Source organism: Homo sapiens, chromosome 6 (genome assembly GCF_000001405.40).
Source record: "Homo sapiens chromosome 6, GRCh38.p14 Primary Assembly".
Classification (NCBI taxonomy): Eukaryota; Metazoa; Chordata; class Mammalia; order Primates; family Hominidae; genus Homo; species Homo sapiens.
Genome location: NC_000006.12, coordinates 20,762,166 through 20,776,158, shown reverse-complemented (window position 1 = coordinate 20,776,158; position 13,993 = coordinate 20,762,166). Strand labels below are relative to the sequence as shown.

General features: G+C 36.5%; 1 protein-coding gene across 15 annotated transcripts in view; it reads right to left on the bottom strand.

Annotated features, from left to right (window-relative positions):
* Window positions 1-13,993, bottom strand: part of CDKAL1 (CDKAL1 threonylcarbamoyladenosine tRNA methylthiotransferase) — a 697,948-nt gene that overhangs the window by 456,246 nt on the left and 227,709 nt on the right. For 3 of the 15 annotated variants that reach the window (XM_047418954.1, XM_047418955.1, XM_047418953.1), the window contains exon 1: window positions 4,250-4,388. The exons of the other annotated variants lie outside the window; for them this stretch is intronic. In XM_047418954.1, coding sequence (XP_047274910.1) covers window positions 4,250-4,286 — 37 coding nt within the window. In that variant the 5' untranslated portion in view covers window positions 4,287-4,388. Of the gene's footprint in view, window positions 1-4,249; window positions 4,389-13,993 lie in introns of those variants that run through there. 15 annotated transcript variants of the gene reach the window in all.

The window sequence follows — 13,993 nt, the reverse complement described above, 5'->3', positions numbered from 1 at the left end:
ATATGCAGCCTGCACTAATAACATTTGATAAATTATTCACCTTCACTATCTACATGCAAATAAAGGAAAGTATCTCTGCCTGATGGTATAATGAGTTATTTTCCAATCCAATGATTCATTAAAGAGCAGCAGACCTAACAATAGTCTGTTTTTTTTTTTAATTGAAAACTATTGCACACTAAAGACAAAGTAGGAAATAACGTAACAGTCACTTGTTATATCTGGCCAAAGATGAAAGGAGGGAATTTCAACAATAAAACAATTATTTGTTTAAAAATGGAGTAGCAGAACAAAACTTTTATTTGTTATATACCCTTTCATTTAGAAATCCTCTTTCAAGCAAAACTGCTGTTTCAAATTAATTCCTTAAATCCATAAACCATATAGTAAATATAAATACTATTTACTACCTATTTTATGTGCAGTTATCAATACTGCTGCCATCTAAAACAAACTAAAACTTACCAGAATAAATAATAAAACTGAAAGAGATGTCTTAAAGGAAGCAAGTCTTTGGAAAGAAAAGGAGAGAGGACAAGGACTCAGGACCAGAGAAACATGCTGAAGGAGTTGAGATGTGAAAGGTAAAAGGCAAATTTTTGGAGCAAATTTGTCCTGAAAATGAACATGCTATACTTATGAAAGGACCATGAGACAAAGACCATAATTGCACATTCACACATTCCTTCTTTATTTGATCCTTTCTCGTTAGCCACTGAGGCCTAGCACTGTGATGGAAAAAGAATGGCTGCTCACTGAGCACTGGTTTGTTTTGTGACTACTGTGAATCAGCCTTTTGGCTTGAGTGAAGGGAAAGAGAAAAGAAAGAAAGCAAAACAATATAGAAAAGAAAAAGGGAGTGAGTTTTTATATCATTTCAATCCCATGTAATAAGAAATTAAAGGAGGAAATATTAATAGGAACAGATGGGGAGATGATGCTCAGTGTGACAAGATCAACTGATAATGACATGAGGCCACCGAGGAGATGGTGATAAATATGTAAAGTGACTAAAATAGATATGCAACTTTAATAAAAAGATGAGAAAGGAAGACTGGCATATATGTAGAATGAGACATACTCAAAAATGTTATATTTCTGAGATCTTTTATCTTTTCCATTTTTAATGTAAATTCACATTTCACCTCCTCTAAATAATGGTCAAATATGTCTCAGTGGGTTTATTAACCCGCTTTAATAAACATCTCTCTGAGTTGTTACGTACAAGTGTCAGATACAATTCAACCCTGTTAAAACCAAATTCAATTTTAAGCCCTGAGGTTTTCAGCAGTTATTTATAAATCAGCTACAAAACCTGATTCCATGCTGGTTTTTACATTTGATCTAATCCATTAAAGAATGTTACTAAACGATTTTACCAACTAAAATTATTATACATTGTAAAAATTTGAACCAGAAAGCTAGCTTTTGATACAATTCACTGCTGTGTGCACATTTCTGAATTCATAATACTGAAATGCTTATGAGAAGAGAAACCAAGGCACTGTATATTATTTGTACAGTAATTGCTACACTAGTTGAATCAATGTTCAATGCTGTCTATCGATCTTCAGGAACAAAAATGTTTTCTAAATCTCATGGTGCTACTTGCATTGGATGGTGTTAGAACCGAGGGAAAACATCCCACCCATGTATACTAGAAAGCCTGGCCTGTCAGCATATCAGGAAGCCAATCATAAAGGTCACTCACAAATAGAAAAGAACCACCTCCCCGAACATAAAGACATATATTAATTGAGTGATAGAAACATAACTAGCTACAAAATATATCTATTAACTAAATTACGCTCCTACACACAAACCAATCTTCTCTGTTTGGTTCTCACGTTCTAAAGTGGGTTGCACATACGAGCTTTAGAGTATCATTCATATTACAGAAATACCAATGATCTGGCAACTTGGACTCCTATTGTTTATTTTTTCCCTTTACTTTTTTCTAAAGGCTCTATAAACAGCCCAACTTTTCTTCAATACTTCATTCACTCCATCTAATTTTAAAGGCCATTCACTGTTTTCTTAATATGTGACCATCCACCTCCACTACCACCAGAGAGGACTCATGCCAAGGCTTGTTGGTTTTATTTTTTATCTCTTGATGACTGGTCTCACCTTGCACAAATTTGGTTTTATTAAGTACACACTGAAAAGACTTGTCTGAACCCTAGCTCTGGGTCAGCCTGCTGGAAATATTCCTAGTGAAGCAATCCAACACGATGATGGGGGCAGAGGGCAGAGGGCAGAAGGGTGGCAGAAAATTCAAGCAAAAAAAGTTTTTTAAAAAATGAATAAATGGGCCAGGTGCAGCAGCTCAAGCCTGTAATCCCAGCACTTTGGGAGGCCGAGGCGGGCAGATCATGAGGTCAGAAGATCAAGACCATCCTGGCTAACACGGTGAAACCCCATCTCTACTAAAAATAAAAAAATTAGCTGGGCGTGGTGGCAGGCACCTGTAGTCCCAGCTACTCGGGAGGCTGAGGCAGGAGAATGGCGTGAACCCAGAAGGTGGAGCTTGCAGTGAGCCGAGATCGCGCCACTGCACTCCAGCCTGGGCTACAGAGCGAGACTCCACCTCAAAAAAAAATAAAAATAAAAAATAAATAAGTAAATAAATGTACCGTACATATCAATTCTCACTTAAATTTGATCACATCAATTTGAATTTTATTTAAGAATATTATACAAAAGTGCCCAATTTAATCTGTTTTTCTACAAAATGTCCATAGTTACCACTTTAAGTGTCCTTAACAGGCATTTTAACTACTCAATTACAAAGAACAACAAAAGTGTAGTCAAAGTTTGTCTCTACTCCATTCAATATCATTCCTCATATACAGGTACTTCTTAGAAGAAAAAAAGGTAGGTATTCACACTAAAGTGTGACACTCCTTTGAAATATTTCATCTTAAAAGAAGAAAAGAATATAAAACACAGAAACTGGGTTAAATGGAAGAAGCAGCTTTGTCACAAGTCTAGATTGGAAAACTTTACACAAAATGGTAGAATTAACTAAAAAACACAGAATCTTTACAACTCAAGCTCTAATTGTTTGTTACTGACATTAAATAATTTCCTTTTTCAGCAAGTATGAAGAGTTTGTTAATGACAGCAATGACACCTAGAAAAAGATATTAAAATGAGAAAAGAATAAGAAGAGACTGTCCAAAAAGACAGAACTCAAAGTATAAATCAGAGTATAAGTAGAGAGCCCACTAAGGTACTGATGTTACCAAGGTGCATTTCCAGAGTTTAACAAAGCATGAAGGTTCCAACACCTTACCTGGTGGACTGGGGAGGAGGCGAAGGTAAGATCACAGTACACAGTTTAAATCCCTAGAAATCTGAGAATTGTTTAATATCAAAACTCCTGCTGTACAAAAAAGTACCTACTCTATAATCTTAATAATGTAAAATTTATGTGTGGACAAGAATTATGGAAGAGAACATGGAAAGATGAAAACATTCATTGGAATGGAATGTTCTTAGGCAATTTTTTTCTTCCATTTGGACATTATCAATGGTATAACTAATAATTAAGTTACATTAAACAAAGGATACATATAACAAAGTAATCTGCATAAGCAAAATGTCCTTTTAGTCTAATGGAGATACCTTCTGGGGCAAATTACAGTAAGTATTTAATTTTATGTTTTAATTACTATATCTTTTGCAAGCAGATATGTCTTTTATGACAGTGGGAGTAGACTTATGTGGTGTCAATTTATCTTTTCAGAATCCAAATCAAATGTACATCAGAACAGTTAAAAGTCAAAGCAGTCCCATGTCAATAACTCAACATTAGTATTGACCCTTAGTAGAACTCTTCAGGTCATTAGCTGTCTTGCTACAACAGACTCTCCTGAATTCTAAATTTATCAAATGGCTCCAAGCCCTTGATATTTACAGCAATAAAGCTATGAGCACTTCTGTTTCTGTATGTAAAGCAACCACAGCAACAATACAGAACATAACGATTTCTCATGCTCAAACCTGTATTCCCAAAGATACTGTAGCCAGTGTTGAAAGCAAAGCAGACCTTACAAAAGACAGCACTCAAGCTGCTGGAAAATGAGAACAATAAAATGTACAAGACATAAGGAACTTGTAAGCCACAGTTAACTTTTAAAATTGAAGCTCAGAGTCCCACTGAATATAGGCCATTTTATGCACTGCTATAAAGGAATACCTGAGGCTGCGTAATTTATAAAGAAAAGAGGTTTAATTGGCTCACGGTTCTGCAGGCTGTACGGGAAGTATGGTAACAGCATCTGCTCAGCTTCTAGTAAGGCCTCAGGAAGCCTCCAGTCACGGCAGAAGGCAAAGGGGGTGCCCACCTGTCACACGGGGAGAGTAGGAACAAGAAAAGACACGAAGGGGACAGATAACACACACTTTTAAACAACCAACTCACATGAGAATTCCCTATGGGCCAGTACAGCACCAAGCCATTCATGAGGGAACCGCCCCCATGACCCAAATACCTCCCACCAGGCCCCACTTCCAACAGCGAGGATCACATTTCAAAATGAGATTTAGAAGAGACAAACATCCAAACTATGTTGCACTCACTTTCAATCACAAATGAACATGTCAAGTCTCCTCGCGCTAATTCAACTCAAGCCACCATAAAGTGTGACAGAAGAGATGGGAAGCAGTAAAGGCTGGGGAATTTTCCCATCTATGTATCTTAAAAAATGCCTCTCTGACCTTGCTGACCTTCATTTCACTTCCAATCAAGAACTGAATAATCTTGTACTGTAGGCAGCATAAATACATCTAAATGAGAGGAGGCCCCTGGAGCTCACTTTGCTTCAAATTCACTCTCTTAGTCCTCAACCCGTTGAGATAAGTGTTATCACTGCCTTTCTATAGAAATGGCAAGAGTGAAATAAGTTTAAAAATGTAGTTAAAACAAAGAGGATGTACATTTTATATTGTAAGTCACTGTATTAATGTACATGCATAACTGAAACAAAAGTTCCATAATACCATAGATGAGCTTAGAAAATGAAGCATGTATGAAAGATTACTTTTTAATATTTAAAACCTTCTCTATCTTGAGCCACTACTTTGACTTCTGCCTTAAAGGGACTTAAGGTCTCGAGGAAGGCAGACTGTTGAACAAATAAGTGGAAGGATGTGTCAGAGATGATCTGGCAGATGTTTCTAAGTACAGAGAGACACCACAAGGGAGTGGTCAACTCTCCCAGGGAAAATCAGGAAAGGCTTCAGGGAGAGGTGACACTGAAGTCTGGGAGGCAGAGCAAGCAGGATACAAATTATATACATGATTATATCTATTTCACAGTACCTTTTCCTAGATTTCCTGCTTTTGACTGATTTTCCACTTCTTAAAACCAAGCTAGTTAAAAGCCTATCACTTTAACTGGATTTCACTTAAAAGATTTATTAAGACTTGGCAGGAAGGGGCCCCATGGTGAAAGACCACGCCTTCAAAAATGAAAATGCTCCTAAAAATAATGTATGAAGTAGAAATTATGTGGGCTTGAGATTCTTAGTTCTAGTCAAAAGACTAATCAAACATCGTCTTAAAATTTAATTTTTAAAAATGACAGTGTTGGGCATGGTCTGTTAAAGATTGAAAGTTATGAATATTAAAATACTTCTGGTTACAGCTGCAAAACTCATGTGGCCTAAATACATAACTAGGATTGAGAATACAAGATTTAAGACATATCCTTAAAAAACATCGCAGGATTTTTTTGACCTAACCATTTGACAGTAAAAACTCTATATACAAAGTGTGTTTTACATTAAAACTTTCAACACTTATTCTTACAACACATACACAAGAATTTTCTCTATAGAATCTTTCATTTGCTTTTTTTTTGGCTGGCTTTTTTAACAGTTGCTTATAGTTAGGGAATACGTTCACTCACTCATTTCCCAATTTAAGCACCTTTATAGCATGGTATGACTCAAACAGTATACTCAGAATTTTCTATAAAAAATTAAGCGTATCTTTATTAACTCCTTACAAAAGAATGTTTTATGTTGGCACAAAATAAAACAGCAAATAAAAGAGAAAAAAAAGTTTAAAAAGATTAAAGAGGAAACAAGACACATGAAGGAACAAAATATATAAGAGAAGATCTAAAGGGAACATGGAAAAAAAGTGAGCAGTGATCTTAAACAACAGGTATCAGAAAAGAAAATAATAAATGGGCCTCACTTTCTCATTTCCGTCTGTTCAATATTAACAGCTTCACAGAATAGAAAGGAGGGTATGTGGAACAAGGGGACTAGGTTTCAAATTATAGTACACTGCTGCTTGGCTGCATAATCAGTAATGCCAGGCTTCCTGTGGAGTAGAAATGAATTAATGTATATGAAAATGGTAAGCCACAAAGAGCTAGACAGAAGTTAATTACAGTTACTACCATAATTAAACAACTGTACTCCTATCAAAACATACAGCGCTAATGACGTTTCTCAAAAGCAAGATGGCAAGGGACTTTTTAAAACTTTCAAACACTAGAAGTTAAAGTCAGATTCCATTTCTTTTAAAAGCTCTGGAGGGCTAGGAAGTACGTCACAAATAATTGCATTGATAATGATGATCAAGGCCGGTGTGGTGGCTCACACCTGTAATCCTAGCACTTTGGGACAAGGCGGGGGAGATCACATGAGGCAAGGAGTTCGAGACCAGCCTAGCCAACATGGTGAAACTCCTTCTCTACTAAAAATACAAAAATAAGCCAAGCATAGTGGTGCATGTCTGTAATCCCAGCTACTTGGGAGGCTGAGGCACAAGAATCGCTTGAACCTGGGAGGTGGAGGCTGCAGTGAGCCAAGATCGCACCACTGCACTCCAGCCTGGGCGACGGAGCAAGACTCTGTCTTGAAAAAAAAAAAAAAAAAAGATGATCACAAGTTTGTGAATGACATCTTAAATATACAAATTAAAGTAGATTAAAGGTCACCCCTGTGAAGTCACTCATTTGCATTGTGATGTACTTTCCCGGGTGTGAGTTACGGGAAAAAGGCATAGGTAATGAACCTGGAACCGTACATGGTCCTGGGTGAGTATAAGCACGTGTGTTCAGGGACCATGTCAGAGAGCCAAGGCTGTTTTTCCACCTCAGGACGCCTGAGTGATATGATCCTTACCTGTCTAGAACAGGGGCTTACCATGGCAATGAATCCAGGTGAGTGGCTGCAGGGCCAACTCCCCAGCTCCCAGTTTCCCAATAGTCTGGATTGAGCAGTCTGCCATCTCCCCTCTCAGGTCATGGGTCCTCTCAGCCACCATCCCTCTCCCAGCAAACATTCTTGAGAATCACTGCTCTAGGTAATGTTACCTACATTAAATCCCCTCAAATCACTTTTTCTCTCGGCAAACCAAGTTACCAAGACTAAAACTACCTCTCTCAAAGTCCTGAAAATAAACATGCTCCCGGGTGGAAATGAAAGCTCCTTCAAAGAGGCACAGTGTTTCTGAGCAACACTGGGAAGCACGCTCCCTGTCACTGCCCAGAACTGCATTACAACTGAATGGAGGAAGGGCAAAAGAGTCCAAGAACTGGGCATTACTCAAGACCCTCTTCACTAAAAAATATAGAGGTACACCAAACAAAAATGCATGGTACCTCTGCCACAAACATCTTCAGCTTCATTTTGTAAGAAGGAGGGCACAAGGAAAGAAAAAGTAAAATCTGGCATATAGAAATCGGGGTGCGAGATAAAGGCTAGTCACATTCTATTAACTTCTGCTAGAGATCACTATCTAAAATGCCAAAAACTATTCTAATGACAGACTCTGAAACTCAATTTTATATTACAGACGCATGCACTTCAAGAATTTCAGAGTGGAAGTGACCTTCCATGTGATACAATTTGCAACTCAGGAAACTGAGAACCAGTGAGGTTGTATGGGCTGTTAAAGATAGCATTGTTAGTAGTACAAACAAGCATTTGCACACAGCTCTTCATAGTCTCAATCAAGGACTCTCACCTGTCACAGCAGCACCCAACAGCACCCAACACAGCGCTGACTTTTCAGTGCAGCTTCAAGAAATGGTGCACTTTAATTTTCAGAATTACAATAAAGATTTAATGTTAGAAAGCATCCTTTATAAGGACATTTTAATTCCTATTTCTTTATTACTCAATACAGTGCATACTTAGTTATAAAATGGTAGTACTGAGATAAACTTCTTTAAAATATCCAGATATCCAGAGGATATCCAGAGTTGATATCCTAACTGAAGTCTCCAAGTGAGTTTTCTCTCCCTCAAATTAATAAGTGAAATTGGTATTTAGTCTCTCCATCTCCAAAGTAATTGCTACATCTCTGCTGTATACTTCATAATGTGTTACAGAATGAACTTCTAAAAGAAAAAATGTGCCAATCACCAAATATTAGAAATAAATGTTCAAATCGATTAAACATTATTGTAATAATCCTGTACCAATTATTATCAATATTAGGTTTTCTAAGAAAAGATCCATAACATCACTAAAGAAAAGTTTATCCTACACCTAATTAATTATTCCAATTATCAAATACAATTTTTCAAGAAAAAGAGAAAGTCAGATTTAAATTTCTTTTCTACCTACATCTGAGCCATCAAATTACTTTGTGGTGCCAGTTTTCACTTGACTGTGACATAATAAATTATTTCCATAACAATAAAATCTTTGTTTTTTTAAAAAAAAATTGAAGATGATAATTTCTATGTCCTATCAAAGCTTTAGATACTGTATTTCTAACATGACCTGGTTTCTATTTTATATTTTTAATTTTAGGGAAATCAGCTATAAAGTACTAAAGAAGAATTACCAATACAATACAATTTACTATTGTGCTGAGAATAATCAAAGCAAAACAGAAAATACCACAATTAACCTACAACTTTACCCTGCATTTGAAAAATGCAGTGAAGCTGCTAGTATCTATTTTTTTCTCTAACTTTACAGTCTCATCTATTCTCAATATATTTTACTAACCAAAAATAGTGCATTCTCTAATGAAGAATAAAATCTCTCCAGTCACGTAATAAAGCACATGATACATATGCAGTGTATAAAAGCAGTGTAGCAACTGCCAATTCTCTTAAAAGTTGGTTATAATAAAGGAAGAATATAACATGAAAAAAATGTTATTTTTGTATTTTCTTTTAAAGCATATTAAAACTCTTAAAATACATACATTAAGTGAACATTTTGTATGGAAGCCTCAAAATGATTAATTGATCTACTTGGTATTTTTCTTTTTCACTAAATAATTCCTACTGTAGTAAATACTATAACATTTAGGTATAATACAAATTCTTTCTGGGATTGATGCTTTATTTATTTATTAAGAAAAATTAATATGGTTGAGAAACGAGAACCCTGGGAATCAGAAGTTGCCATATCTGAAAATATTAAGTACCAGAAATAAAAATGATTAAAATACACATGTAAAAGCAAGGATGTTCAAACATATATTTGCTCATGTTAACAGTTTCACAAAAGTCTAAATGATAATACATTTTTAGAGATTTGACAATACTTGTAGTCTCACCTTCATGAAATCTGCCAAAACACTACCAGGATTCACAAGAGTTAATGTGTAAGTGTAATTAAGAGTAGGCAAGTCCTCGTTAATAGTTAAACAAAGAAAGATGGGGATACCATACTGGACAGGTCAGTGGGACTACTAGCAGAAGGGCTGGGTCATGGGAAGCCTGTGAGGTTCAAGCCTAAAGTAATTTCCTTTCCTTGCTTACGGCAATCAAATCTAGTAAACCACTATAACAGTGTATTATGTGAAAACTACAATATGATTATCAACTTGAACTATTCAACACTATGCACCAGCTCACCCCACCAAAACCCCAGAATTAAGAAATCAAAAGTTAGAGAAATACCCAAGTCCTCATATAAATAAACTCCATTAATGATGAAAGGTGGTTTCAAATAATTAAAAAAAATGTATCTTTGATCAGAAAAGGAAATATAAGCGATAAATACACTAAAGCTGTATAATTAAATTTAAGATGAACAAAAAGCATGTAAGACCATTCTGCCATTCTGAAGCCACCATAAAGCAGCAGAATCCACTTGGGGGATTCATTTAGGCATTCATTTGTGTTCTAAAAGCCTTAATGGCTAAAAATACTTGATAAATGTAAAGTTACTTACTATCTTCATTTAAAAAAACCCAGTGAACTTGACCACTTACAATGTTTAAAGAAGACTTTTTCTAGAGCATCTATTACATATTTTGTAGTGGATAAACACTGCTGCTGCTCTGTATGTGTGTAGCTAAAAACAGGACTGATAATTTGGCCAATACAGTTATAAAGTTACAGAAATACAGACAAGACAACACATGCTGGCTTCTCTTACAAAGTCCTTTCTGGTATTATTCCAAACCAAGGTATAGAATGAAGTGATGTAAAAAAATCAACTAAAAGTCTTATCATACAATGTTTTTGTTTGGGGCCATAAAGAAATTAGCCTACTCTTATTTTTAAGAAAATGTTATGGTTTGAAAAATGCTATCTAAGAGAGAGAGAATGAATAACAAGGAGTTCATCCTAGAAATAATGTATGTAGATGTACAGAATACAAATAAGTAAAGCTGCAATCCTATTGTTAACGTGGGGAAACTAAAGGAGATATAAAGAAAAGAGGATAGCAAAACAGATAAACTGAGTGCATTTAAGAATGTAACCGGCCGGGCGCGGTGGCTCACGCCTGTAATCCCAGCACTTTGGGAGGCCGAGGCGGGCGGATCACGAGGTCAGGAGATCGAGACCATCCCGGCTAAAACGGTGAAACCCCGTCTCTACTAAAAATACAAAAAATTAGCCGGGCGTAGTGGCGGGCGCCTGTAGTCCCAGCTACTTGGGAGGCTGAGGCAGGAGAATGGCGTGAACCCGGGAGGCGGAGCTTGCAGTGAGCCGAGATCCCGCCACTGCACTCCAGCCTGGGCGACAGAGCGAGACTCCGTCTCAAAAAAAAAAAAAAAAAAAAAAAAAAAAAGAATGTAACCATTACCTTTGCAATGGGAAATGCAAGTTACCAAACTGTAATCAAATAGTAAAGTTAACTTTACTATACTCATAAACTTAAAACAAACAGGCTCATTGAAAAAAACTAAATAAAGTAATAAATCCCTGGCTCCTTTACTCACTAGAAGGTAGAAGTTATCATGTATTTACTTACACCGATGAGACTGGAAAGTATTCCTAACATGTAAGGCAATCCACAAACTTTTTCCCACTACATTCAGACTATACTAACTGTATCAGAGATTACATATAATGAGAGGATGCATACAAGTGTTCTTTCAAAGCACATATTAAAAATCAATAAAAATTATTTTATTGAAATGCAACTATTGAAAAAGCAGATGTGCTTTTGTGGTCCAATACCCTCCCAGATATACCATGCTACATATCTAAGCTCAATCACTTACTCATTGAGTTTGGAAAACATCCTCAAGTAAGTCTGCATTGAGCTCTGTAAGGTGGTTATTCAGTCACTCACACTGATCAAACCACACTTGATACAGTACTGCTTCCCAGTCTCAACCTATGAACAGTTTATGCTCTAAATAAGTACCACATGCAAAATACAAAACCTTACAGAGTGAAGATTAGTAGCAATGTCTTAAATAAGAAAGCTGCTTGGTGACGTACTCTGGGAATTTAGGTCAGTCTAGTGCAAGATGGCACCAATTACTGAGAAGTTAGGAAAAAACAGAAAATCGGTGAAACTTGCAAATTATATACCACGTTGGGAAAACCCTAAATTACCGCCACTTGAGGCATTTGGAATCTAACTGAAAGAAATACCAGCAAACATATTAATTACAATAGGGATCTCAACAGAGGTTGATTGGTAAAGAAACATGACGTAATGGTAAAAACATTTTTCTAATGTCGATAGGTAAAATTTATTTGCAATAACTTGTCATAAGATATCCAATTAGACTATCTTTCCACAAAGATAAGATTATTTTTAATGATATTTTGTTTAGAAGATTTCACATACTTTTTTTGGAAGAAATGCAGATTTATATTCCTTTCATAGTTTTCATACAAAAAAAAGTTTTTAATGACCATATGAGCCAAGACTAAGGTGCGTATGAATATTTTTAAAAGACGGAAATGAATGTGAATCCACTAGACGCTGTATTTCTTTCCTTACATTCAGTTCCACACCTTATAAAATTATCAAAGTGATACAGGAAAAAAATCCTAAATTCATTATAATTTCATATATCCTGAAGCCAAAACCACAAATGAATGGAGTTTTCTTGTTGCTATTAACATGATGAAGATCCATTTCAGAATAACTTATCAAGAATTTGCCATTTTGATACAATCAAGACAGATAAATGAAAACAAGCTTTTATGGTTTTATGTTAATTACAATAGAGTTAAATGCTTTTAGTATCAATGTACCTTATTAGTACAGTTTTTAAAATACTACTTGGTGTAACATAAGCAGCAATAAGAAGAATGCAAACAGGCTGTGACAGAGGCTGTATGTCTAAAGCCCCTTCAAAGATGAGATATGAAGAGAGCCCAACAGGGATCAAATGTGGAAACAAGAGGGTTATAGCAAAATCCTCTTGTCAGGCGGTATTCCATCTGGCCCTTCTGGGCAGAGCCTTGCTTCTCCACAGCTAACTTCTTATCAATCAGGGTACCAGCAAAGCAGATGGCTCACTGCATAACTAAGAAGATTTTCATAAAGGAACGATTTACTAAAATCTGGGCAGGGTTAGGAAAATCAACAGACAATGCGGTACTCTGAGGCTAGCAACAACGGGGTGCTGTTTCCATCCCAGAGGCAAGGAAGAGAAGAGCTGCAGAAACCTGGAGAAAGATAAACAGGGAGGGTCACCAGACAAGAGCTGTGACCTTAGGGTAAGGAAAGCAACCAACCCAAAATAGGCAGGGAGGGAAGGAGAGACGGGAATGGATACTCTTAGCTTGCTCTCTTGTCACATCCTCCAATTGGCTAAATCCAACTGGACATAAGATGGCAAGAATCTTACTGATTCAATCCATACAGGTCAGCCTCCAAGGACACAGATCAAGATGGAGAATAGATGTGGAAGGACAAACAGAAGATATCCACTTCTGTGGAGGACCATCAAGTAAATGTAAAGCACAGTGAAAAAATATATAAGAAACATCAAGCAGCACAGTTGGCTGGAGCAAAGGGTATAATGTACAGCATGCATGGACAAAAGAAGTGAAAATGGTAGAAAGTCCCAAATTAACTTGGTGGGTAAGAGGCACCAGTGAGAGTATACATACAGGAAAGTAAAATAATCCCAGGTTAATGATAGCAGGATATGCAGTCAGATTGAAAGGAGAGTCACTGATGGCAAAGATCAGTTAGATTATTCCAGCAGTTCTTATATTAAGGAGGAAGTAAGAGGTAAGCATTAACATGAACTAATGCCTTAATATGTTCTGTGTACCTCAAAAGTCTTATCCATTTAATCCTGACCATTTTAAGCTGAGAAAACTAAGCCTCAGAAAAATAACTTGCTGAAAGACAACCAACAACTGGCTAACTGCTGTAACAACCACATTATTTCAGTGACATATGCTGTCTGAATGAAGTACTGGCAGTAGACATAGAAAGCGAAGAACAGAAGTTGACTGATAGGCACAGTTCTCTATTAACTAAGAGATCTCAAAAACATCATGTAACTCCTTCACAGCTCAGCTTCCTGATCTGCAAACTAAGGAAAGCTATCAAAATTATTCCTTCCATCTGAAAAATTCTCCTGTTGCATTATGAAGGCTTAATTATCAAACTTCCCATCCTCTAACCAAACCTGCCAATGAATATCCCCTTCAACTTCATCTTCGACTCACTTTCATAGCCAAATGCACACACAATCTCTCCAGTAAATCCACTCAAGTCCACGCTCATCAGTAAGGAGCTATCCATGATTAACTCAGCCTGGGAGTAACAGGTCTTGTATGATTTCCCA